Genomic DNA, 27,752 nt, shown 5'->3' on the forward strand with positions numbered 1-27,752 from the left:
GCCCAGAACACACAATTTCTTCAAAAAATAGTGCCGTGAAAACCAGATATTCACATGTTGATACCATATTTTGGCTATTGTAAATAATGTGGCAATAAAGAAGGGAGTGCAGACATCTCTTTGACATACTTGTTTCATTTTTTTTAAATACATGTTTAGTAGTGGGATTGCTGGGTAACATGGCAGTTCTATTTTTTAAACTTGGTTGAAAAACGGTTAAGGAAAATATGATATATACACACAACGGAATGCTATTCAGCCTTAAAAAATAAGAAAATTCTGTCACTTGTGACAACATGAGATAACTTGGAGGATATTATGCCAGGTGAAATAAAGCCAATCACAGAAAGACGGATACCTCACAATTTCATTTATATGTGAAATCTAAAAAAGTTTAATTCATACAAGTGGAGTAAAATGGTGGTTACTGAGTGAGGTGGTGGGGGATGGGGGAGGTGGTCAAAGGATACAAAATTTGAGTTGTACAGGAAGAATAAGTTCAGGAGATATATTTTAAAACATAATAATTATAATTAATAACAATGTATTATATAATTGAAGAATGTTAAGAGAGTAGATTTTACATGTTCTCACCATAAAAAAGATAAGTATGTGAGATAATGAATATGTTAATGAACTTGATTTGCACATTCAATAATATACAACTTTACTGGCACATCATGCTTTTTACCATACATATATACAAATTTCTTCCAGTGATAAAACCAAATATTTGTTTTTAAAGAATGAAAATGAGATAGGAACAGAATAATACTTACATGCCAGTCACAAAAGAATGACTATATGATATAAATCAGAAAGAAAGAAATTAAAAGAAGGAAAAAGGAATGAGATCTATAAAGCAAAGATGAACAAATTATATATAATATGATATATATAATATATATATATATAATATATATATAATATATATATACATATATAAGCAGGTGGGTAAAACTAAAGAATTCTGATAGTACAAAATAATAATTGTTGTAACAATAATGACTATTATACTGATTAATAAAAAACAAATATAAAATGTAACAGTTTTGGGATTTAAAAATTGTAGATATTTTTGTGAGAATGAGAGAAACAATTGGTAACATTAGACTTTATTAAGTATATAAGTTAAGAGTTTAATGCTTAATTTTCTTAGTAATAGAGGTAAAATGTGGAATAGATAAAATTTGACAAGTTGAAGATTATAAAAGGAAAACGGTGGGAAAAGAAAGCAATTAAAAGTAAATATTCAAATAATATGATATAAATAATAAAAATCAATAAATGTAACAAACCTGATTTGACTGAACTTGGTATTTAAAAGAATTTTTTAATAATCCTAGTTAACATAAATAAAGCTGTTATAGTTCTAATAGTTTAAAAATAAATATACATAATCATTAGTAAGAAGAAAATACCATAAAATAAATATAACAATTCCAAAGTTTTGTTTTATTTAACATAGTTTCAAATTCATACAGAGCATTAATTAGCATAATTATCAGGAGAAATTGATAAATCCACTTTTGTAGATTTTAGTATACCTATTTTAGTTATTGATAAGTAGAAAAATCAGTAAAAATATAGATTTGAACAACATGGTGAACAAATATTAAGTTCAAACAAACATATATAATACCTCTATTTATAATGCAGAGAATTTGAATTTTTCTAGCCCACAGTGGTAGACTTGTGAAACCTCATCAGGTTCTAGGACACAAAATAAATATTTTCACAAAAAAAGGCATGTGGGAGTAGTTGTATACAATAGCTTCTCTAAGCTGAAAAGAACTAAGGTAAAGTAAAAATAGAGCCTAAATTTTATTTAATAACCTACTATAAGTAAACAGTGGATTACATGAGAAATTGTAATGAAACCTAGGAAACATTTAGAATTATACGATAATGAAAATGCTACACGTCAAATATGTGCAATGTTGCCAGTTTTAAAAAATAGCTAAAATCCTACAAATGTGTATAAAAAATGTAAAATCTAGATAGTTTCTAAAAATTGTAACTTACCCACCCTACTCATGAAAAAATAATACCTCTGTATATCTATATCTGAAAAATCTATGCCTAGTCCCTCACTCAAAAAATAGCATTCCCATACATGTTTTATAAATATATTATGTCTTGCATTTAAGCAACATAAAGCCCAATATTATATAAATTCTTCTAGAGTAAAAAAATTCAATGCTTACCAAATCATTTTATAAGGATAGTATAACTTTTTATAGCAGACAATGCAAGAAGTATATGAGGAAAGATCACTAAAACTAATTTTATATATGAACATAGTAAAATCATCTTTTAAAAAATACCAAATTATAATGTTCAAAGTTGATTTAATATTTAAAACTCTATTTTAACCAACACATTAAATATTAAAGTAGTAGTGAAAATAATTAGATAATTTCAATAAAGAATAAACCATTAAATCACATTTACATTTTAGAACACTAGAAATAGAAAAATTTTTCTTCATAAATGTTATTTACCAGAAACTTACACAAACATTGTTTTTCAAAGCAAATGTAATAGTTTCCTTTAAATCCGTATACAAGACAAGGATGTCTTGTATCATACTTCTATTCAGTATTGCATTAGATATTCTAAACTATGAAATAAGTTTTAAAATTTAGAAATTAAGAAACAGAAGGGAATGTTTTCAGAAAAGAAATTGTCTACCTAAAAATCCAGACACATCTATAGAAATATTAGTAGATATAATAAGTTATTTTAAATTGAAACTATATTTTTATGTCAGTAAAATATTAAAAACTTTATAATGTAATAAAAAGACCATCTTAGAAAAGTAACAAAGCCTATAAGATATTCAAGATTAATTCTAACATCAGTAGATATTATAAAATTTAGACACAGAAGATAAGATGCAAGTAAGTTTAAAGATATGCCATGTTTATGAATGGGAAAAGTCAATATCATGATGAAGATTCTTCCACTGTTAATTGCAATTTCAAATAAAATCACAAAAGTTTATTTTACAAATGTTCTCAAGCTGATCATACTATATATTCAAGAATAGGCATAGTGAATTTGAAAAAGAGGAACAAGATTGGGAGACTGTTCTACAATTTAGAAGACTAAATATAATGCTAATGAAATTCTGGTAATTCACCATTGATAAAAGGATGAAGAAACCAATGATTCAGACCCATACACATGTAGAAATTTGATGTATGCAAATGAAGACATTTAAAATCATTGGGACAGGTGAATTATTCAATAAATTTGACAGAAGAATTGTTTAACTCCCCCACCCAAATGGAAAGAAGAATATTTTCACCCTTAAAACATTCTTAAAAGTAAATTCTATGCAAACTAGTCACCTAAGATTTAAATTACAAAAAACAAACATTAAGAAAGAAGAAAAAGAAAGAAATATACAAGCCACAAGAAGAGATATGTGCATCACTTGGAACTTTCAAAGGATTAATATTATGAAACTCATATACATAGAATAAGAGAAAAAAAACCAGCCAAGTAAAATAAGTGACAAAGATGTGAATAGGAAGTCACATAAGTTGAAACGCAAATGGTCAGTTAATACAAAATAAGACATTTAATTTCACTATTAATCAAGAACATATAAATTAAACCACAATCATATGTCATTCCATACCAATCAATTTAGAAAAATTTAAAAGGATTACGAAGGATATATGAGTTCTCTCATACAATTCATAAGAAAAGGGAAAACATGGAACAAAAAAAGAAAATACTAGAAATGGTGATGCCTTTCCTTGCCACCAAAAATTGTCATGGACTGTGCTCTCTAGAGACCCTAATCCTCCGTCACAGTGCTTGGACTTTACTCGGTTTTGTTCTTTGTCAAATGAATAATGATTCCCATTCTAGTTGCTCACAGATACCTCAACTGTACTCTGAAAAATGTTAACTTTTCTCATGCTGAAAAACAAGAGATAATAATTACATCATGGCTTTAAATTTAAAATTATGTACAATTTCTGAAGCTAATATATATTATTTACATTCAAGATTCAGTTTGTCAACCAGGCTTTTAAAAATTGAAAGAAGCTTATTGGTAGGGTGCATGAAACTAAAAGGAAACAAAATGACATCAGTTTCTCCAAGCCATTTTCCCATTCCCCCTCTAATAGCCCAATTTTTTAAAAAAATACAATGTTAAATAAGGTATGTCCTTTTAAAAAATCAACCTAGAGGTATAATTTACGTACAATAAAATGCATTCATTTAAGTGGTAAATTTTGACAAATATATTCACTTATTTAACCACTAACACAATTAAGGCATAGAACATCTTCATCACCCCAAAGAGTTCCCTCAATCCCCTACTTAGTCATCTCCTCCCCCAGACACTACAACCCCCTTCATTCCAGATAATCTATAATTTTTTTTTACACTAGGTGTTTGCCTCCTTTACAATTTGATATATATAGAACTATGTAATATGTACTCTTTGGTGACTGAGTCCATTTGAGTAGCACAATGCTTTTGAGATTCATCTGTTTTACTTTTTAAGCCACGTAGTATCTTACATGGCAAAGTCACAATTTGTCTATTCACTCCTCTTTACGTGTACATTTGGTTTGCTTTTAGGTTTTGGCTATTATAAAGAAAAAAGCTATGACTATTCCTGTAAAAATCTTTGGGTAGACTTTTTAAAATTTTTTTCTTTACATTTACTTTTAAAATAAATAGCCAACTCAAAAATATTTAAAGGAAAATAATGAAAAGTCTTTCTCCAGCTTGGCCCAAATAACTACGTTTAGTGGGTTCTTTACTCTTCCAATGATTGCCATGCACATAGAAGCCCACAGAGCGCTATGTACTTTTTTCTTTCCCTTCCTCATCCCCAAAGAACCATCCCATATGTACATTTCTATAACTTGCTTCTTTATTTTTTTAATTTACTTATCTCTAATCAACATAAAAATTTTTTTGATGTAAATTATTTGAATTTACCACATGTATAGATTTGAGTAACCATTACCACATCAAAGAGATGAAATAGTTTTCTCACCTCATAAAATTTCCTGTTGCTATCACTTCACAATCAAATTCCTTCAGGCATCTCACCCCTGACAATAACTAATACATTCGCCATCACTGTAGTCTTTTTGAGAACCTAAGTGGAGCCATACAGTAAGTAACTTTTTGAGACTAGTTTCTCTCACTCAGAGTAATGTCTCTGAGATTCATCCAAGTTGTTGTATATATCAATGGTTTGCTTCATATTTTTTAAAACTTTCTTTCATATATGGCTTTAATTATAAAGTTTCTTTTCATGCAATTAAAAATATTTTAATGAACTCATTTTCAGACAGTTGCAGATTTACAGAAGAATATGAAGATAGTATACAGAGTTCCCGTAGCCCTCACACTGTTTCACCTGTTATTAATATCTTGTAGTAGTATGGTATATTTTCACTGTTAAGGAACCAATATTTAAAGTCCATACATCATTCATGTTTCCTTCATTTTAATCTAATGCTGTTTTTCTGTTTCAAGGTGTCATTAATGATACTACATTATGTTTACTTGCATTGTCTTCTTAGGTTCCTCTTGGCTGTGGCATTTTTCTCAGATTGTCCTTATTTTTGAAGATTTTAACAGTTTTGAGGAGTACTGACGAGGCATTTTGTAGAATGTCCCTAGATTAGGATTTGTCTGATGTTTTTCTCATGATTACACTGAGGTTATGAGTTTTGGGGAGGAAGATCACAGAAGTCTACCTTTGTCATTTCTATCACACCACATCAAGAATACATACTATCATGACTAATACTATTGATGATAACTTTGATTATCTGGCTAACTCAACCCTTTTTATTACTATTCTATTTTATGGATGCAACACAGTTTGTTTATCCAATCACTTCCTAAAAGACATTTAGGTCATTTACAATTTGGAAGATTATGAATAGTGCTGCTATAAATACTCACGTACAGATTTTGGTGAGAACATAGTTTTCCTTACTTTTGGGTAAATACTTTGTAGTGGGACTACTGAGTCACAAGGTAAGTGTAGATTTAACTTTACAAGAACTTGCTACACTATTTTTCTAACTGTCCATTTGGTATTTCCACCAGCAATGAATCACAATTTCTGTTCTTTATTGTCACTAATTTTGTTTTAGTATTTACAAAAGTTTTAGCCATTTTACTAGTGTATAGTGCTACCCCATCATGGTTTCAGTTTGCATTTTACAAATGGTAAATAATATAAAACTTTTCATGTGATTACTTGTCATCTACGTATTCTTTGATGAAGTAACTGTCATTTGTCTATTTTTGAAAGTTAGTTGTTTATTCTCTTTGTGTTGAGTTTCGATACTTTATTGCATATTCTGGATATGATTTCTTGGTCTTACAGGTGGTTTCCAAATATTTTTCCCATTGTTGCTTGTATTTTCACCATCTTAACAGAGCATGTCTTTCACAGAGAAAAATATTTCAATCTTAATGAAGACCAATTTCTTGATTTTTTTTTCTTTTGTAGATCATTATTTTGGAAGCCCAAGATCTCAAAAGTATTCAAGAATTCTTTAGCAAATCCTAGGTCTTAAAGATATTTCCTATGGCATCTTTTAAAAGTTTTTCAGCTTTATGTTTTACTGTTAAATTAACAATCCATTCTGAGTTAGTTGTTTTTTTTTTTTTTTTAGATAAAGCATGAGATTCAGCTCGAGTTTTTTTTTTTTTTTTTTTTTGTCTTTTTTGTCTATGGATATCAAATTGTTCTAACACTATTTGTTGAAAAGACATCTTTGTTGCATTGAACCCCTTTGCACATTTGTCAATAATAGTTGTCTGTATTTGTATGGGGTTATTATCTGGGCTCTCTCTTCTGTTCAACTGATTTATACGACTCTCTCTCTACCAATACCACACAGTATGATTACTATAGCTCTATAATAAGAAATTTGAAATCAGAATGAATAATAACCCCTTCATCTTTATCCTTTTTCAAAAATTTTTTGCTATTCTAGTTCCTTTACCTTGCCATGTAAGCATTAAAGTAAACCTGTTTATATCTAAAAAATATTTTGCTGGAATTTTGATAGAAATTGTATTATATCTTCCTGTGAATAAATAGATAATTGACATTTTTACTTGTTGAGTTTTCCAATTCATTAACACTGTATGTCTCTCCATTTATTTAGATCTTCTTTGATTTCTTTTATGAGCATTTTGTGGTTTTCAGTATATAGATTCTGCACAAGTTTTATTAGATTTCTAGCTATGCATTTCATGATTTTTGAGTGAATGTAAATATTATTTAAAAAATATGTCCAATTAATTATTAGTACTATGTAGAAAAACAACTGTGTTTTTGCTTATTGGCCTTGTATCTGATGGCCTTGTCCAACTCTTTCATTAGTTATATAATTTTTTATAGATTCCTTGATATTTTCTGTGCAATCATATCTCCTGTAAGTGGGGATTTTCATTTATTCCTTTCCACTCTGTGTATATTTTATTTCTTTTTCTTGTTATATTGAACTGACTTAATTTTCCAGCATGATATTGAATGAGACTGGTATGAGTGGCCATTTTTGTCTTACTCCCTATCTTAGAAAAAAAGGACAAAACAAAAAAGAAAACTAAATACCAATATCCCTGATGAACATAGATGCAAAAATCCTTAACAAAATACTAGCTAACCAACAGTATATCAATAGGATAATCCACCATAATCAAGTGGGTTTCATACCAGGGATGCAGGGATGGTTTCACATACGCAAGTCAATAAATGTGATACAGAACATAAAAATAATTAAAAATGAAAATCACGTGATCATCTCAATAGGTGCAGAAAAAGCATTTGACAAAATCCAGCATTTCTTTATTATTAAAACCCTCAGCAAATTCGGCGTACAAGGGACATACCTCAATGTAATAAAAGCCATCTATGACAAACCCACAGCCGACATAATACTGAATGGGGAAATGTTGAAAGAATTTCCTCTAAGAACTGGAACAAGAAAAGGATGCCCACTCTTACCACTTCTACTCAATATAGTACTGGAAGTCCTAGCCAGAGCAATCAGACAAGGGGAAGAAATAAAGGGAATCCAAATTGTTAAAGAGGAAGTTAAACTGTCACTGTTTGCTGATGATATGATCGTTTACCTAGAAAACCCTAAAGACTCCTCCAAAAAGCTCCTAGAATTGATAAATGAATTCAGCAAAGTTTCAGGATACAAAATTTACTGTACACAAATCAGTAGCTCTGCTGTACACCAACAGCAACCAAGCTGAGAATCAAATCAATAACAACACCTTTTACATTAGCTACAAAAATATATGTATTTTTTAATTCTAATTTTAGCCAAGTAATTTCCAGATTGTACAATTTTGCATTAGAACCAGTAGTGTACCAGAGTTTCACATCTCTGCTATTATTTGCTATTGTCAAGCTACTAAATTTTAACCCTTCAACAGGGCATGAATAGCAGTATCTCATTGTTCTTTCAATTGCTTGTTCCTTCAATTTGTATCTTGTTTTTTGATGAATATGGGTAGTGAGATCCTTTGCATTTGGTTTTCAGTAAGTCTAAAGTCTTCTTTTGTGAGGTGCTCATTAAAACATTTGACTCATCTTCAACTGCTTTTTTATTCTTATTGTTGACTTGTAAGCATTTTTTACATATTCTAGATAGTTCTTTGACACTACGTTTGCAGGTAGTTTCTATTAACTGCCTTTTATTTTCACAACACTGTCTTTTAAAGAACAGCTATATTTAATGTCAATAAAGTGAATTTATCATATTTCCATGATGCCTATGGTTTTGGTGTTCTAAGAAATCTTTGCTTGTGAAAATATTCTCCACCCCTGCACACACTCTGCTGAAGGCAAAGATATTTATACATTTGTATTTTGCTTGGATTTTACTCCTACTCACTCTCTGATCAGTATCCATGTTGCTATAATCTGGAATAATATTTCAAATTGCTGTTAAGGTAATTATTTAATAGTATCAATATTTATTTATATCTAACATGTTTAATTGATATGTGTGTTGTCTACAGCCATACCACCTGAACATACCAGATCTCTTCTAACTGATATGTGTGCTCTTTACTGCTTCTTGAAACACCCATTTTATTCTGAATCCACTTTTCTTTTTTTGCTGAAGTACATTCTCTATTAATGTGTTTAACAGGTGAACTTTCCGAGTTCTTGCATGACTAGAGAACCCTGGTCCTTGCATGGTGATAAAGATAGAAAACCATTCCTGATTTAAAGTAACTTTCTCTTTTCCTAGAAATTTGAAGCAAGCCTTATTCTCATTTTGTTGAATATAAATGATAAGTGTGAAAAAATGATGTGTTCGATTCTTAGTGAAGTATTTTAAAATAACAGTTCTACTAAGTTTTGGAGAAAGTCTCAGGCACTCTTCTTTATTTTCTTTTCCCTTTTGTTCTTTTAACTCAATGATTTTGGATCTACTTTTAGATGCATATTGGAAAGTCTTAATATATCCTCCATGACTGTTCATTTGTATTTCATATTTTATACCTCTTCACTTTTTTTAATTTTGTACAGGAAGATTTTCTTAGCTCCTTATCAATATCCATTCTGTTATTTGGACATTATATTAAGTTAAATTTGTTATTTGAATAGGTATATTTTATTTCCAAAATTTTGAATGTTTTTAAATAATTGCTTTTTATTTTATGTATGTGTCATTTCACTATTAAATGATCTTTTTCAGTTGGCTCTATTATTTGTGTTTCCTTGGCTGCTACTTTCACTTACTATCAAGCAGTATTCAACATTAGATATTTGGTGATAGGTACTTATTATCTACCACATGAGAATTCTGTGCTTCATGTGGGCTGCACAAACTCTGCAGAAGATGGTGTATTGGGGCCCTCTGTAGCTGTGGGAGGCTGGTTGCCTTCTCTTAGTAGCTGAGACCGCGGTGGTTTGTTTGTTTTTGTGAGGTTTTTTTCCCCCATGGGTTGGCTATGGACACTTGCTAATACTGTGTGCATTATAGCCCCAAGAGAGTTCAGCCACTGAGGCTGTCAGGCACCACATTTCTCCATCTTCCTAGTGAAGTAGCCAATGGTGCTCTGAGAAAGGCCTCCAATCTGCCTTGGCTTTCTACTTTGGTTTTATTTTTGCTATTTTCTCTCAAACAATGCATCAGGGAATCAGTCCACAGATAATGCCCATTATTGGTTTTCAAAATGTATTAATTTCTTTCTTTCATTTTCTTTTCTACAGTATTGGAGTTGTTGTGCCTTGAAGCTAGAAACTGCCTTGAATTTCTACATAGGGAAATGTAATCTATTGCTTTCTTACAGGTAAACGTTTATCATGCAAATATTGCTCTCTCCTTGGCGATACCTTGTTGGTAGAAGTAGAATTTAAAATATATTGTAAGTATTTTTATATGTATGTTTCCAGAATAGACGATGAACACTTTGAGGTCAAGGACTATATGTTAGAAACTGTTAGTAGGCTACTTAATATCAATTCTCACCTTTTTATTTACTAATGAAGCTACACTTTATTTGGGGGAGCCAGGTGCCAGGTGAAAATATATTCTCTGCTTCCTTTGCAGCTAAAAGTAGACATTTGACACAGTTTTGGACACTAAGATATAAACAACTCACTGGGTATGGTTTCTGGGAAGGTTCTTTATTGGAGGATGACCCAGCTGGCATGTGTATCGTTCTGCTCTTTGTCCTGCTCCTTCTTCCTGCCTGGAATGTGGACATATCTATAGCTATAGCATCACTGCTGCCTTCATATCTGATACGAGACAGAGTTTATCATTCCTACAGATATGAAAGAAAATCACCATCCTATAATATAATTGTGCCAACCAAAGTCATATGCCCATATCTGAAACAAGATAAGATGTCTATGTATCATTATAAGATGATTTATATAAACCTAAGTTCCTGGAACGTTAATTCTCTAGGGAAATACAACTCTTCTAATTGGCTTACCCTAAGCAACACATGTTCCTGGATCTGAAACCATTATCTTCCCAACTACATGGCTGCTATCTGATGAGGAAGCAGTAAACAAATATTATTAATAAGAAGTTATCCACAATATGGACTCTATGTTTCATATTGTCAGTTATTCAACATACATTTATCCCTTCTTTTACTTACACATTAAAAATTTTCATGCCTGCATAAAATTAATTTACTCCATAGGAAGATAATCTAAAGCTTCCCTTCATCTAACATAGTTCACGTAATCTCTTAAGAATATTCTTAAGCATGACTTTTCCCACAGTGTTTTCCCTGGGATCCTCTTCCCCACACCAGGTTATCTGTCTTCCTCTGTGCTTTTAACTCACCTTTTGGTACCATTATCATTTCACTTGTCTCACAGATGGAACTCTTATATTATTTGTCTGATTACTCTAACTAAAAGACCATCTTATTGTTGCTACACCATGTTCTATTTATCTTTGTATACTTAGTTATTAATTCAGTATTTAGATATTCAATAATTATTTGTTGATTCATGAATGACTCTATCAAGTATATATTAGTTCATGCTTTCTATGAGCCTATGCATTATTGGAACATCAGGAAAGGGAACAGGGACTAGATATAGCTACTGAAATTAAAGTTTTTAAAAATTTTCCATTATTCTAACATTTAGTAATTAAAGTGTCATTGTAAATATGCTAATTGCTCTAAGCTTAGAATGGCCATACAATAACAAAAGACATTTAAAATATAACTCTCTTCTGAAAAACAATAATTGACTACTTTTAGGTTAAAACAAAATCCAAGTCTTAAAATAACTAATTGCTTAACTTTTCATGTGCACCTCTCTCTCAGTTTCACACACAAGATGCACATACACATTGAAATGTCAGCCTTTATGTCCTTAGAATGTTCAGTTAGGTTGTGATGATGCTACACAAATATAAGATATCCTAGCAGCATAGGACGCCTAATTGTATTTATTTAAGTGCTTTAAATTCTACCATTTCTCTTCTTAAAGAATAGTTTCTATAATTATTTTATTAAAAAAGAACAATAGTAATTATGCCATGGCAATATATTATTCCTAGAATTTTCTAATAAAAAAGGACAAACACTCAAAAATCAAAATCTTATTTTTCTGGAAAGAAAAGCACTTTCTAATTAGAAATCATTAATTTAAATGAATGTGTAAATAATAAGTTTATAAATGTAGCATAATGAACTAACTTCTATTTAGGAGAAAAAAGCAAACATAGTTACAGACATGGCACACACCCAGCTGATTTTTAAACAGCAAACAATAGCCACAAATATACATTTTTAAATTCTGTCTATACGTCTCTCCGTATGGCTCTAAATAATGTCCAGGTTAAATGAAAATGTTCCCAATTGAAGTGTACCATTATCCATTCTATCCTTTATCAGCTTCACATGTACAGTTCTAAGGTAAACATGCATTGTATACTTGGAAATTTTGATTTCAAACCTTGACAGCACATTTCCAAAGGTATAACATCTTAATCAAATTTAAAAATAAAACATCCCAGTGTTGAGCTTGGTTGTAAACCTAAAATTATATAACATACATGTTTTTATGCTTTGTCAATTACATTTGAAATAGGGGACTGTTTGTTTCAGCCCTTCTAAAAATGAGACGAGGATGAGAAAACAACCTATTTCCTTATTAGGTTCAGGAGTCAAAGGACTCAGCCAGGAGCCGCAGGCTTCAAGAGCATAGAAGATTAAGACATATATTGGATTCATGATGGAGGGCAGAAAGTTCATTTTCAAAATAAAACAGAATTTTATTCATATTCCTTTTAAAATTCAGATTGCCATTTGCCAGCTGACCTGTGACACAGCAGCAGTGTATTACATTTTCAATGAGCAGTCTGTCTGGAGCTGCTAGTGGGAGAAACTGCTTCCTGGTTTCTAGGTTTGTATTTGTTTTTTAAGTAAGATATTTTTGTCAGAATTTTAGTGGGTGCAAACAGGGGCAAGGTAACATATTTATTTTTAATAAGGAGGAGATGTAAAATAGTATAGTCATCAGCATTATGCATGGAATAATCCTGTAAAAAAATCACAATTCAGGTAAAATGCATACATGGGACTGTCAAAAATGAGGATGCCGGCATCTCAATGAGAAATAAGGGCAGGCCAAAAAATGAATCTTTATTTAAAAAATAAATACATGTGAATGCTTTTTAAAACAAGTTTTGGTAGAGTGCAAGTCAAGCCAAGGTTTTCTATAGTCAGGGACTAGATTTATCCAGCTCACCATCTGTCAAAATTATATTATAGACGACACATATGCATAGATACAAGACCACTGATTTTCATATATATTAAAACCTGAAACTACTGCACGATATGAAAACCTACAAATTGTTAAGCCCAAAGGCTTACATCTAGAACTTTTTTCCTCCACATTGTTTTATTTTTGTTCTCTTCCTGACCTGCATTTAGGAAAAATGGACACATAGTCAATGAAAATATACAAAAATTAAACTTCATTTAGGAAAAATCAAAACAGAAACTTTTAGATAACATAAAAATAAGAGAAGAGATGTACACTTCCCTAATTTTTGGGCCTGATCTTGTGGGTGAATATATCCAGTACATATCTCATGATGCAGGAAAGTGAGTTTCAGATGAGGGTCAAGACAATTTTTAATATAAAACAAACAGAAGTTATGCTTGTGAAAATAGAGAGCAAGCAATAATGATGACACATATGACTAGTTGAGTTGACTTGAACCAAGACAATGCTGTTCATATTTCACCTCTGAGAAGAGCTTTGTGATAAGAGTTACTTGTGTGCTATTTTGTTAACTTCTCACATGAGAAACAAAGGGAGACAAGCATAGCAGTTTTGCCATTTGGTACCATATCTTTAAAGTGGAAAGAGGAAATTAAAAAAAAGGAAACCCCTAGCCTCATATTTTGTTTGAATAAATAGTATTTTTATCACATATTATAAGAATAACAAATTTTTCAGTTAGAAAATACTGGCTTTAATCTATTTGCTTCATTTAAATAAATGATCGGTCATAAGTACAGCTCTTAGAGCTTTCTTCTGTCACTATAGATGAAATTGTGAAATTGTGTTCTGCCCTGAGATTTTAAAAAAATTGTCATTGAATGATATAATTATATCATCTTATCAATAATAACACAAACTTCTCATATTATAAAATTATTTTAATGCTTACTTTTTATTAAATAAATGTTTTCAGGTAAAACCCTGAGAATTTATTTTTTTAATGACAACAGAAGTAAATTGAATGACAATTGATTTCACTTTAAGACCAGCTGTCTTAAATGCCAAGTATTTCTATTATAATTTAGAATTTATGATAAAAAAGGAAGAGAAAACTGAATAGCCTACTTAAACGCTTCCCAAATGTATTTGCATGTTTATCACTGCAGTTTAGTTTCTGTAAAATCTCTGAATTATGATCCATAAAGTATCAAAGGCCATGCAACTTCTTAAAGATAATCTGCAAATAAAATTTCATTTTTGTGTTTTTTCACATTTAAATTAGATAAACATAGTTTCTTTTCATGAAATGCTAAAATACTATTGATTTTAAACATTTAGGTTTTTTGGTATGGTTTTGTAGCCAATGGGGAAACTGAAGACATTAGTTTGTTATAAGCTTTGTTACATTTTAATTACTAAAATACAGTTTCTGTATTATTTGAAACAAAAGAAAAATCTTTTGACTCCCCTGAAAGAGAAAGACAAAAAAGAAGGAAAGAAGGGAGGAGGGAAGGAGAGAGGTAGGGAGAGACAGAACAAGGGAGGGAAGGAGAATAAAAAAAGAAAAAAAAATAGATTCCTTAAACAAATAAACAAATTTTAAATGCAATAGAAGTACTTTGGGATAATTTGATTCGCATGTGCCATATGTCAAATCATACACTCCCCTTCCCCCAAACACATATCCCAAACACTACCCAAAGCCTGCAAATCCTGATATTCTGGCTTTGTCTATGCCAAAATATTAGTCCAGTCTGCCTAAACTTAGTGCTATAGAAGAGATTGTATTACATAGCATAAAAATGACTGTCAAAGTTGGTGAAATTAGTGTCTTTTGAGCTATAATATGTTTGGCATATGTCACTGGAAATGTTTTCCAGTAGCTCACACAAGCACCAAACACAATTTTGAGTTTCTTTCTATTGAGTTTGCAATAAATTAATTTATTTTAATTTTTTTAAAAAGTTGCAAGCCAGAGACTTAGCCAATTGAAAAACAAAACAAAACAAAAAACCCCTCAAAAACCCAGGCACCAAATTTAGCAATACAATAAGATTGAGATTGCTCCTTCACAGAGCTAATTCTCCCAGAATCCACTGTTCGTCTCATCACTCCTTATAAAATACAGAATCCTTAATTGGTCTGTGCTTCTCCAACATGTTTTTAATGAAAACGCAGCACATAACTCTTAGTTTGTTGGCTGCCAGAGCCCAATTTACAAAAGTGGGAGTGCGAGATAAGAAAAGAGTACATCTGCAGAGCAGGCTGCGCAATGAATCACACGGTGCCAGAGTTGAGTAGAATATAATTGAGTCCAACATCTCTGAGCACTTTCACCATAATTAATGATAATCTGTAACAGAGGAATCTGAGATTCCAGTTCAGAGAACTGTTTAATTAGGCCAAGTAATGAAAGCAGAAGCAGTACAAGAATATGGCCTGTCTCATGATTAATGATTCATGCTACTGAACACAAAAGTGCCGCACCGTTAACTCTAACGGATGCTGCATCTCTCTGGCATTTACAAAATAGTGAAATGCATGCATTTTTGTACTTTAAAGATGTAACTGGCAGTATCCTTTTCTGAGCTATTTACGTGATAAATATGGTTCCGAAGGTAACTGTCTTCTTCACAGGTTCTTTGCTCTGGGGTAGTTTAAGATAAATATGGTATCTGCCTCTACATCAGTATTAAGGTAAGTGCCATTCCAGTACAGGATCATTAACACTTTCACTTTCACTTTCCAAGTCAGTAAAACATTATTTTCAGTCTTACTTTGGTTTTAAAAAGATGTATCTTTTATGGACGAAATCACCCATCTTAATATTTATATAATATTCACTTAATAATACAATAAAGAAAAACTAGGTTAAGAATCAATCATAAGGTAAAGAAGATATAAAGCATGTTTGATAGTTATTATTTGGGGAGGTCAGCGTATAATACGTCCTCTCAGTGTAGAACAAGTTAACATTGAGATTGTCCTGCAAGTATGGGGGACAAGACAAAAGAAAGAATGGTTTGCCTGAGGCCTTAACTTACAAGCCTGTGAATTATATAGGTTTTATGCCACTCCTTGTTCTGCTTTTCAATAAAATAAAGAATAGTGCTTCTAAGAGGAATTGCAGAATTGCACCTTACATATGCAAGGTCTGTAAGAAAACAACCGTCAGAACAAAGCATGCACATTCTACATATGACAAAATTGGGACTATTCAGATGCTTGCTGCAGAAACTTCTATGATTTGGCACCCATTGACATTCATAGTGATTCAGGAGGCAACTTTACCTGTTACATGTATTAGAAGTAAAGCTGTCTAAATGCTCCACTATCCTTATCCTGCCTTCCAATACACATGGAAGTTAGTCAAACACAAAAATGCAACTCACATTTGACATTCGGATTATCTCCTGTTGGCGAGATAGAATATATGATCTCATAGAAAATGTAATACCAGGGTTGGGTTGTCAATAAGCTTGAATCCATGTAACCCCAGAACAATGGGCAGAGACACAAAACTTTAATTATTACCTTCAAGTAGGCCAAAGGAAAATCCCCCACTTTTGTACATCTTTCACTCAATCTAAAGAGAGGTTTGATCTTCTAGGGATGTTTTGTAGAAAATTCGTGGTTACAACATAATGAAAATGTAATAGTTTTATAAGAAGGCATTAAAGGACCATACTTTACTCTAAAATTAAAATATGTAGAGAGATATATTTACCTAAATCTTAATATACACACTTCAAAAATCAAATTTTGTTTTGTAGGAATACTCTTTTACAAGAATAGGTAAATTTCTTTTCTTACCTACGTAAATATTTAGGTGGGCTGTATTTATACATAGAATGATTGATTTGTATTATAACTATCGATAACATATGCATCATATAAAAGAAATAATTTTCTTTTAAAAATGAATATAGTTAATCACAGGCTTCAAAGGAATTCCTACATATTCTTTAGCTTGTTTGAATTTTGACATATTTTTACATAATTTTATATATTCAGATTATTTGCAAATCGCATTGTTATTGACTACATGTCATGTTGTGGAAGATAGAAAGGGGAAAAATGGGCTTTATGATACGTGACATTTTCAAAGGAAGAAATCACATTAACAACTTTTTTATAATGCACAAAATTGGCCAACATTTTTAAAACAATTTCTGTGTGCCAGGCACTGGGCTACAAAATTTCATACATTCCTAATTTATTCTTTATAACAAAAAACCTAAAGAAATAGTCACTATATTAGTCTGTTCTCACACTGCTTGAAGAAATATCTGAGGCTGGGTAATTTATCATGGAAAGAGGTTTAACTGACTCACAGTTCTGCAGGGCTGAGGAGGCCTCAGGAAACTCACAATCATGGTGGAAGGAGAAGCAAACACATCCTTCTTCACATGGTGACAGCAAGGAGAAGGGCAGAGTGAAGTGGGGTGGGGGGGGAAGCCCCTTATAAAACCATCAGATCTTGTGAGAACTCACTCACTATCATGATGAGAACAGCATGGAGGTAACCACCCCATGATTCAATTACCTCCCACCAGATCTCTCCCACAATAGGTGGAGATTATGGGAACTACAATTCAAGATGAGATTTGAGTGAGGACAAAGCCAAACAATATTATTCCACCCCGGCCCCACCCAAATCTCATTTCCTCATATTTCAAAACACAACCATGCCCTTTGAACAGTCCCCCAAAGTCTTAACTCATTCCAGCATTAACCCAAAATTCCAAGTCCAAAGTTTCATCTGAGACAACGTAAGTCCCTTCCATCTATGAGCCTGTAAATCAAAAGCAAGTTAGTTAATTCCTAGATACAATGGGGATATAGGCATTGCATAAATACAGCTCTTCTAAATGGAAGAAATTGGCCAAAACAAAGGGGCTACAGGCCCCTTGCAAGTATAAGATCCAATAGGGCAGTCATCAAACCTTAAAGCTCCAAAATGATCTCCTTGGACTCTATGTCTCACATCCAGGTCACCATAGTCTTGGATAGCTCCAGCTCTGTGGCTTTGCAGGGTACAACCTCCCTCCTGGCTGCGTTCTTGGGCTGGCATTGAGTGCCTGTGTCTTTTCCAGGTGCATGATGCAAGCTGTCAATGGATCTACCATACTGGGGTCTGGAGAACCGTAGCACTCTTCTCACAGCTCCCCCAGGAAGCACCCCAGTGGGGACTCTGTGTATGGCCTCAAACCACACATTTTCCTTCTGCACTGCCCTAGCAGAGGTTCTCAATGAGGACCCTTCCCCTGCAGCAAACTCCTGCCTGGACACCCAGGCACTTCCATACATCCTCTGAAATCTAGGCAGAGGTTCCAAACCTCAATTCTTGACTTCTGTACACCTACAAACTCAACACCATGTGGAAGCTGCCAAGGCTTGGGGCTTGCACCCTCTGAAGTAATGGCCTGAACTATATGTTGGGCCCTTTTAACCATGACTAGAGCAGCTGGGACAAAAGGCAGCAAGTCCTAGGCTGCACACAGTAGGGGGGGCCCTGGATCAGGCCCAGGAAACCATTTTTTCTTCCTAGGCCACTGGGCCTGTGCTGTGGGGTTGCTGTGAAGTTCTCTGACATGCCCTGGAGACATTTTCCCCATTGTCTTGGTGATTAACATTCAGCTCCTTGTTACTTATGGAAATTTCTGCAGCCAGCTTGAATTTCTCACAGAAAATAGTTTTTTGGTTTTTTTTTTCTATCACATTGCCAGGCTGCAAAGATTCCTACCTTTTATGCTCTGCTTCCTCTCGAATGCCTTTCTACTTAGAAATTTCTTCTGTTGGCCAGGCGCAGTGGCTCACGCCTGTAATCCCAGCACTTTGGGAAGCTGAGGTGGGTGGATCACGAGGTCAGGAGATCGAGAACATCCTGGCTAACACAGTGAAACCCTGTCTCTATTAAAAATACAAAAGAAATTGGCTGGGCGTGGTGGTGGGCGACTGTAGTCCCAGCTGCTCAGGAGGCTGAGGCAAGAGAATGGCATGAACCTGGGAGGCGGAGCTTGCAGTGAGCCAAGATTGCACCACTGCACTCCAGCCTGGGTGACAAAAACAGAAATTTCTTCCATCAGATACCCTTAATCATCTCTCTCAAGTTCAAAGTCTGGGGCAGGGGCAAAATGCCACCAGTCTCTTTGCATAGCAAGAGCGATCCAGTTTCCAACAAGTTCCCCATCTCCATCTGACACCACCTCAGAATGGACTTCATTGTCCATAACACTATCAGCATTTTGGTCAAAGCTATTCAACAAGTCTTTTAGAAGTTCCAAACCTTCTCATATCTTCCTGCTATCTGAGCCCTCCAAGACTCTAGAAAGTTCCAAACTTTCCCACATTTTCCTACGTTCTTCCAAGCCCTTCAAACTGTTCCAACCTCTGCCTGTTACCCAGTTCCACAGTTGCTTCTGCATTTTCAGGCATCTTTATAGCAACACCCACTCTCTGCAGTACCAATTTACTCTATTAGTCCATTCTCATGCTACTATGAATAAATAACCAAGACTGGGTAATTTATGAAGGGAAGAGGTTTAATCGACTCACATTTCCTCAGGGCCAGAGAGACCTCAGGAAACTGACAGTCATGGTGGAAGGGGAAGCAAACACAACCTTCTTCACATGGTGGCAGCAAGGAGAAGGGCAGAGCAAAGGGGAGGGAAAAACCCCTTATAAAACCATCAGATCTAATGAGAACTCACTCACTATCATGAGAATAGCATGGATAAAACCGCCCTCATGATTCAATTACCTCCCACCAGGTCCCTCCCACAATAGGTGGGGATTATGGGAACTATAATTCAAGATGAGATTTGGGAGGGGACACAGCCAAACTATATCATTACTATAATTATTTAAACTTTATAGATGAGCAGATGCAAGCTAGTTCATCAGCGTAGAAAAACATTTTTAAAATAATATCAATGCAAGTTTACAGATATATTTCTTAAATATAAGAAGACCAGAAATGCCATTGTGGCTACAAAGTTTCATCAGGGACTCAGAATTCTATCCTTCTGCTCTGCCTTATGCAGCCCATCACCACATGGTCAAAGATGGCTGGTAGACTTCCAGGTATTACATTCATACTGTAAGCAGCAGGAAAAGTGAGGAAGAAAGAAGGATTTTGCCCCATTTTTCCAAGAAAATTTCCTATAATTTCCACACAACTTTCCTCAGTAAATCATATAGGGCATAATCTAGCCACATAGTCCATGTTACAAAAATCTAGGCTAGTAATACAGATTTTAATCTTGGCTCTAAACTCAAATTTAGGTTTGCATCACTAAGGAAGATGGGAACACTAGAGACTTGATAGTGAGTTAACATTAGGTGCCATAGAGTGATCTAGTGACTTTTTTTCTTATTGTGCAGGCATTAATGGAAGAATCTAATTTTGTAAACATGTCTATTTGAATCAAAAGCTGTATTTTCAGCTATTGTCATATACATAGTGGTCTCTTAAATATATATTTAATTTTATTAGTTTTAACTAAATGATAATTGGTGGAAAATTATGTCATTATTTTTTTGTTAGCATTCATTAGAAAAATGAGCATTTTAACACAAGCAAAATACTATTTGTTTGGTCTTTCAAATTACCACTTGAAGGTATTAGATGTAACTCTGAAAGGTAGGTAGATGGGACTTTGAACTTGAGAGAGATGATTCAGATAACAGGCAGGTAGATGGGATGACCAGTACATTTAGCATTAACTACCAACAATACATTTTCTTTTTTTTAATTCAATATCTACATGAGATTTTTTAAAAATAAGTGAACTAACATACATCCCGCAAGTTTTGAGAATGTTGTTTTTAGTTATATATGTGGAGACAATTACTAGTTAATAATAACACACACCTGGTGATAGTTTTAGCATGCCATCAGGTAGCAAATATGTCACAATTTCAGAGATAAAAAATATTAAAATATGCACCTGAGAATAGGTGAAATACAACATACTCATTGAAATGAAGAACTAAATGGATGGATCCAACAAGAAAATAGATAGAAACTGAGAGAAACTGAGTATATGTAATATACTTGAGGAAATAAAACAGAACTCAGATGAAATGAGAGAAAATATAAAAAAGAGATTCAGTATATAAAAAAGAGATTAAGATTAATCTCCTTTGACCAGTATATTATTAACTGGTCATTGTCTCCACATGTTTAACTAAAAACAACATTCTCTAAACTTGCAGAATGTATGTTAGTTCAGTTATTTAAACACTAGAATGAGAAAATTTACTGTATGTCTCTGAAGAGTGATAGAAAAATAATATGAACATTTAGGAAGAAGGTCTATTGAAAGAAATAATAGAGATTTTCCAAAAGGTAAAAAACAAAACAAAACAAAAGCCAATGAGTCTTTAGGTTCAAAAAGCTCACTGTGTTATGAGATGGACAACTTAAATCCAAAACAAAAACTTTAGATTTATTGACATAGGATTTCAAATTTTTAAAGAAAAAGAAAATTTAAAAGTAGCCGAGATTAAAAGACAAATTATCTAAAAGTGAATAATAATTTGAATGACAGGGAATATCTCCTTGCAGCAACAAATGCCAAGGTTTAGTGCAAACGCATCATTAAAATGATACTATTTTACTTTGTGAAAATATAATGATAATTATATTCAAATACAAAATATTGCATTCAAATTATTTGTTCACAGTAAAATATTTCAATTTAATTATTTATACCTAGTTAAACTTTCAACATACAGTGTCATGCAAATGATTACTGAAAGATTTTAACAGTTATAGAAAATATTCTGCTTCTGTGACACAAACTGAGTCAAGCAAGCAGAGAACCCCTGCCTCCACTTCCCCAGCACTAGGTTAGGTAGCATTTCCTGAGGAAAGAGGGGCAAGAACACAGACAGAAACCCTTTCTAAAGTGTCAGAGTTCCTGCTGAGGATGAAGCAGGAACATGGAGAAGACTCCTACAGTATGTAATCTCTACTATAAGCAGGTGATTATAACAGAGAAAAATGAAGCCAGTGGTGCACTAAAAGTCACTGCAGGACAATAAAAACCAAAACCAACTCAATTCCTAAATAGGTTGACTCAATCCACCACAAATGAAGAGGGGGTTCCTATTTCTCGACATACATACCTCAGTTTCTATATATTATGTTTCTATAGGCCATGTACAGCGATGAATAAAATGTTAAGAGATACTAAAAATGCGAGAACAAAAGCCTCATTTGATACCTGACAACAGAAGCCAACTGTGAAATGGCCCAGAGGCTTAGATTATTAGAGAGAAATTTAAAAATAAGTATAATCAATATGGTAAAGACTCTAGTGGAAATAATAGCTAATATACATAAATAAATAAATAATTTTAGTAGGGGGATAAAATTTTAAGAAAGTGTCAAATGAAAACACTAGAAATTTTAAAAACTACAATCACAGAGAGCAAGAATATCTTCAAGGGATTCATTCACCAGTTGATCAAAACTATCAAGAAAAACATGGTTGAATTTGAAGATAGATCAATGAAAATTATCTGAACTGAAACACAAGTGGAAAAAAGATAATTTAAACAAACTGACACAACATTAAAGAGATCTCAGACAATAACAAACATTCTAAATATATATAGCTGGAATATAAGGGGGAGAAAAGAGAGAACAGGGAAGAATAATGAAAAACATCAAACTGTATGTCCAAAAATCTCAAGAGCTCCACGCAGGGCAAATAATCCCAACATCATTATCTGGAAATATCGTATAAAAACTGCTAAAGCTTATGATATAAAGTTAATACTGAATTAGACAAATAAAAAAGATTAATCGAATAAATATGAATAATGATAAGAATTAGAAAAGACATTTCATGCAAGTCAGAAGAATGAAGTGAAACATGAAGTGCTGAAAGAAACAAAAGTGAAACAGATCTGTCAACCTAAAATTCTAAACATAGCAAAAATATTTTTCAAAAATGGTGAAATAACAACATATTGACAAATAAAACCTAGATTACAAGAAAAGGTAAAGGAAGTTTTTTACGTAGAATAACTATAATGTCAGACAGAAACATGAATCCAGGCAAAGAAATAAAAATTACCCGAAAATTAAAGTATGGAAGACATTTTTGTTGCTAATTTATCTAGAAGAAAAATGATAGTCTATAGTAAATATATTAGCAAGGTATTACATAAAGTAAAATATAATATAAAATAAGAACAGATAAAAAAAGAATTTGGGAGTATACTTTTATAGATTTATAGCTTATGCATGAAGCAATTTATAATTTGAAGGTGACTGTGATTAATCAAATATATACATATTTTTATATACATATATTACTATATATAGAGAGAAAAAGAGTAAACCTTAGGGTTACACAATTTTTAAATACCTATAAATAATAATGTGATTAAAAAGGAAAAATAAAAAATAATCAATTTCATTTAAAGTAGACCCAAAAAGAGGATGGAAAAATACTTAAACAGAAATTACTAAAAAGATGATAGACAAAAATATACCATAATAGTAATAATATTAAAGGTAAATAGTCTAAACAAACCAGTTAAAAGAAAGGCATTGTTAGGAAGGAGCCAGACATAATGATATGCTGCCTTCAAAAGTTTCACTTGAAGTATAGAAATCTAGACAAGTAAAAATAATGTATGAAGAAAATGTATTATGCAGACATTAATCAGGAAAAAGAAGATGGGGGTGGATACTTCAATATTTCAAAACAAAGCTTATTATTTGAGATAAAGAGGGACATTACAAGATGATGAAAGGGTGTATTCAGCAAGAAGAGACAGTAATATTAAATATAAATGTACTGCCTAAAAAGCATCAAAATTCATAAAGCAAAAGCTGATAGAAGTAAAAGTAGAAATTAACAGAAAAAAATCAAAATAATGATTGGTGATATCAACACTTCTCTACAAATCATCAATAGAAAAAGTAGACAAAAAACTATTAAAGTTATAAAAGACCAAAACAACAGTGTAAATCCAATTGGCCTAATTAATGATTACAGAAAGTCATCAGAATACATATTATTTTCAGGTGCATATGACATATTCATCAGGGTAAGTATATGCTGGAAAATAAATAAACTTAAAAGAAAATAATATAAATTGAAATAATACAAAATGTGTTCTTTGACTAAAATGGAATTCAACTGGCAATCGTTACCAGAAAGATACTAGAGAATCCTGAAATATTTGGAAATTAAATAACATATTTCTTAATTAAAAGAGGCTAAAGATGAAGTCATAAGGGAAATTATAAATATTTGGGATTTAAGAAAAATAAAACATTTGAAAATGTAGGGGAAGCAGCTAAAATAGTACTTAGAAGTAAAGGTAATTAAATTAAATGCTATAACTATTATTATATATTTATATGAAATTACATATACATATATGTATTCATATAATGTATTTGCTATTATATAGAATACATAATATATTGTGTTAATTATACATGAAATATATAATTATATAATTAATATAATTAAAATCAAGATATAAATTACAAAAGAGATTTTAAATTAATGGTATAAGGTTTTCACTCTAATAATGTAGGAAAAGATAATGTTAAACAGAAAGCAAATAGAAGGAAGGAAGTAATTAATGTATAAGATATCAATGAAACTGAAAACAGGGAATATCAACAAGAAAATCAGTCAAATAAAAAGCTAGCTATTTGAAAACATCAATGCAATTTATAAACCTTCAGCCGTCTTGACTGAAGAGAGAGAGAGAGAGAAAGGGAGTCTGAAAAAAGAAAGAGATAAAAAAGAGAAATTATTGTCAAAATATCAAGAAGATAAGCAGAATCTCCTTGTAGATATTACAGACAATGAAAGAATAATAAGGAAATAAATATTATGAACAACTTAAATACCATAAAATCAACAACTTCGATGAAATGTTATAACCTTGAAAGTCTCAAACAATCAAAGCTTGCTGTAGAAGAAATACATAGTCTAAATTGTTATATAAGGATTTGTGGAATTGAGTTTGTAGGTAAAATCCTTCAAATGAAGGAAACTTCAAGCCAACTTGACTTCACCGGTGGCTTCTACCAAATATTTAAGAAAGAAAAAATACTAATTCATCACAATCTCTTGCAGGAAATAGAAGAGAAGTGAAGACTTTCTAATCTTGTTATGAGGCCAGCATTGCTTTGATACCAAAACCAGGAAAAAGATAAGAAACCAAAATTGCAGACCAATATTTCTTAAGAACATACATGTAAAAATGCACAATAAACAATTAGTAAATTATATCCAGTAACAAGTGACAAAGGGGATATTACTATTGACCCCACAGAAAACACAAATAATCATCAGAGTATTATGGATGCCTCTATGCACATAAACTATAAAATTGAGAAGAAATGGATAAATTCCTGGACACATACATCCTCCAAAAACTGAGCCAGAAAGAAATTAAACCCCTGAACAGACCAATAATGAGCTCCAAAATTGAATCAGCAATAGCCAACTAACCAGAAAAAAAAAGTCCTGGACTGAACAGATCACAGCTGAATTCTACCAGATAAACAAAGAAGAGCTGGTACCATTCCTACTGAAATTATTCCAAACAATTGAAAAGAATGGACTCCTCCCTAACTCATTCTATGAGGCCAACCTCATCCTAATACCAAAAGTTGGCAGAGATAAAACAAAAAAGAAACCTTCAGGCCAGTATCCTTGAAGAACATTGGTGCAAAAATCCTCAACAAAATATTGGCAAACCAAATTCTGCAGCACATCAAAAAGCTTATCCACCTCAATCAGGTAGGCTTTATCACTGGGATGCAAGGTTGGTTCAACATACACAAATCAATAAATGTGATTTGCCAAATAATCAGAACTAAAGACAAAAACCACATGATTATCTCAAAAGACGCAGAAAAGGCTTTTGATAAAATTTAATATCCCTTCATGTTAAAAACTCTCAATAAACTAAGTATTGAATGAACATACTTCAAAATAATAAGAGCCATCTATGAAAACCCACAGCCAACATAACACTGAATGGGAAAAACCTGGAAGCATTCCCCTTGAAAACCAGCACAAGACAAGGATGCCCTGTCTCCCCACTCCTATTCAAAATAGCATTGGAAGTCCTAGCCAGAGGAATTAGGAAAGAGAAAGAAATAAAGGGCATCCAAACGGGAAAAGAGTAAGTCAAACTATCCCTGTTTGCAGACAACATGGTCCTATATCTAGAAAACCCAACAGTTTTAGCCCAAAAGCTTCTTAAGCTAATAAACAACTTCAACAAAGTCCCAGGAAATAAAATCAATGTGCAAAAATTACTAGCATTCCTGTACACAAACAACAGCCAAGCTGAGAGCCAAATCAGGAATGCAGTCCCATTCATGATTGCCACAAAAAGAATAAAATACCTAAGAAGACAGCTGACCAGGAAGGTGAAAGATCTGTACAAGGAAAACCACAAAACACTGCTCAAAGAAATCAGAGATGATGCAAAAAACATTCCATGTTCATAGATAGTAAGACTCAATATCATAAAAATGGGTATACTCTCCAAATTTATAGATTCAATTTTATTCCTATTAAACTATCAATACATTTTTCCTATAATTAGAAAAAGTATTTTAAAATTCATATGGAACCAAAAAGGAACCCAAATAGCCAAGGCATTTCTAAGCAGAAAGAACAAAGCTGGAGGAAGCATGCTACCAAACTTCAAACTATATGACAAGGCTACAGTAACCAAAACAGCTTGGTATTGGTACAAAAACAGGAACATAGACGAATGAAACACAATGGAGAGCCCAGACATACCTGCACCTATCTGATTTTTGACAAAGTTGACTTAAAAATAAAGCAATGGGAAAAGGACTCACTCCCTATTTAATAAATAGTGCTGGGATAACTGGTTAGCCATATGCAGAAGATTGAAACTGGACCCCTTCCGTACATCATATACAAAAATTAACTCAAGGTGGAATAAAGACTTAGTTGTGAAACCCGAAACTATAAAAACTGGAAGACTACCTAGGCAATACAATTCTGGGCATAGGAACAGGAATGGGCAAAGATTTCGTGACGAAGATGCCAAAAGCAATTCCAAAGAAAAAAAAAACTATCAACAGAGTAAATAGATGACCTACAGAATAGGAGAAAATATTTGCAAACTGTGCATCTAATGAAAGTCTAATATCAAGCATCAGTAAGGAACTCAAACAAATTTACAAGAAATAAACAAACAGCTCCATTAAAAAGTGGGTAAAGGACACGAATGGACACTTTTTGAAAGAAGACATATATGAGGACCACAAGCACATGAAAACGAGCACAACATCCCTGATCATTAGAGACATACAAATCAAAACCACAATGAGATATTATCTCACACCAATCAGAATGGCTGTTATTTAAAAGTCAAAAAATAACACATGCTAGTGAGGTTGTAGAGAAAAAAAAGGAACTTATACAACTGTTGTAGGGAGTGTAAATTAGTTCAACCATTGTGAAAA

The 27,752-nt window shown here is 32.5% G+C and overlaps 1 long non-coding RNA gene across 3 annotated transcripts in view, besides 1 other annotated feature; it reads left to right on the forward strand.

Annotated features, from left to right (window-relative positions):
- LOC107985953 (uncharacterized) overlaps positions 1–27,752 on the forward strand; it is a 139,261-nt gene that overhangs the window by 5,936 nt on the left and 105,573 nt on the right. For 2 of the 3 annotated variants that reach the window (XR_001739746.3, XR_001739748.2), the window contains exons 2-3: positions 10,250–10,329; positions 12,815–12,919. The exons of the other annotated variant lie outside the window; for it this stretch is intronic. This is a non-coding gene — a long non-coding RNA (uncharacterized LOC107985953). The remainder of the gene's footprint in view (positions 1–10,249; positions 10,330–12,814; positions 12,920–27,752) is intronic. 3 annotated transcript variants of the gene reach the window in all.
- Positions 15,100–16,193: an enhancer, noted in NCBI's record as "VISTA enhancer hs580". NCBI's record gives its function as "enhancer in: other[10/12]" and the evidence as "EXISTENCE:transgenic organism evidence [ECO:0001131][PMID:17130149]".

The sequence above is a fragment of the Homo sapiens genome, chromosome 2 (genome assembly GCF_000001405.40).
Source record: "Homo sapiens chromosome 2, GRCh38.p14 Primary Assembly".
Lineage (NCBI taxonomy): Eukaryota > Metazoa > Chordata > Mammalia > Primates > Hominidae > Homo > Homo sapiens.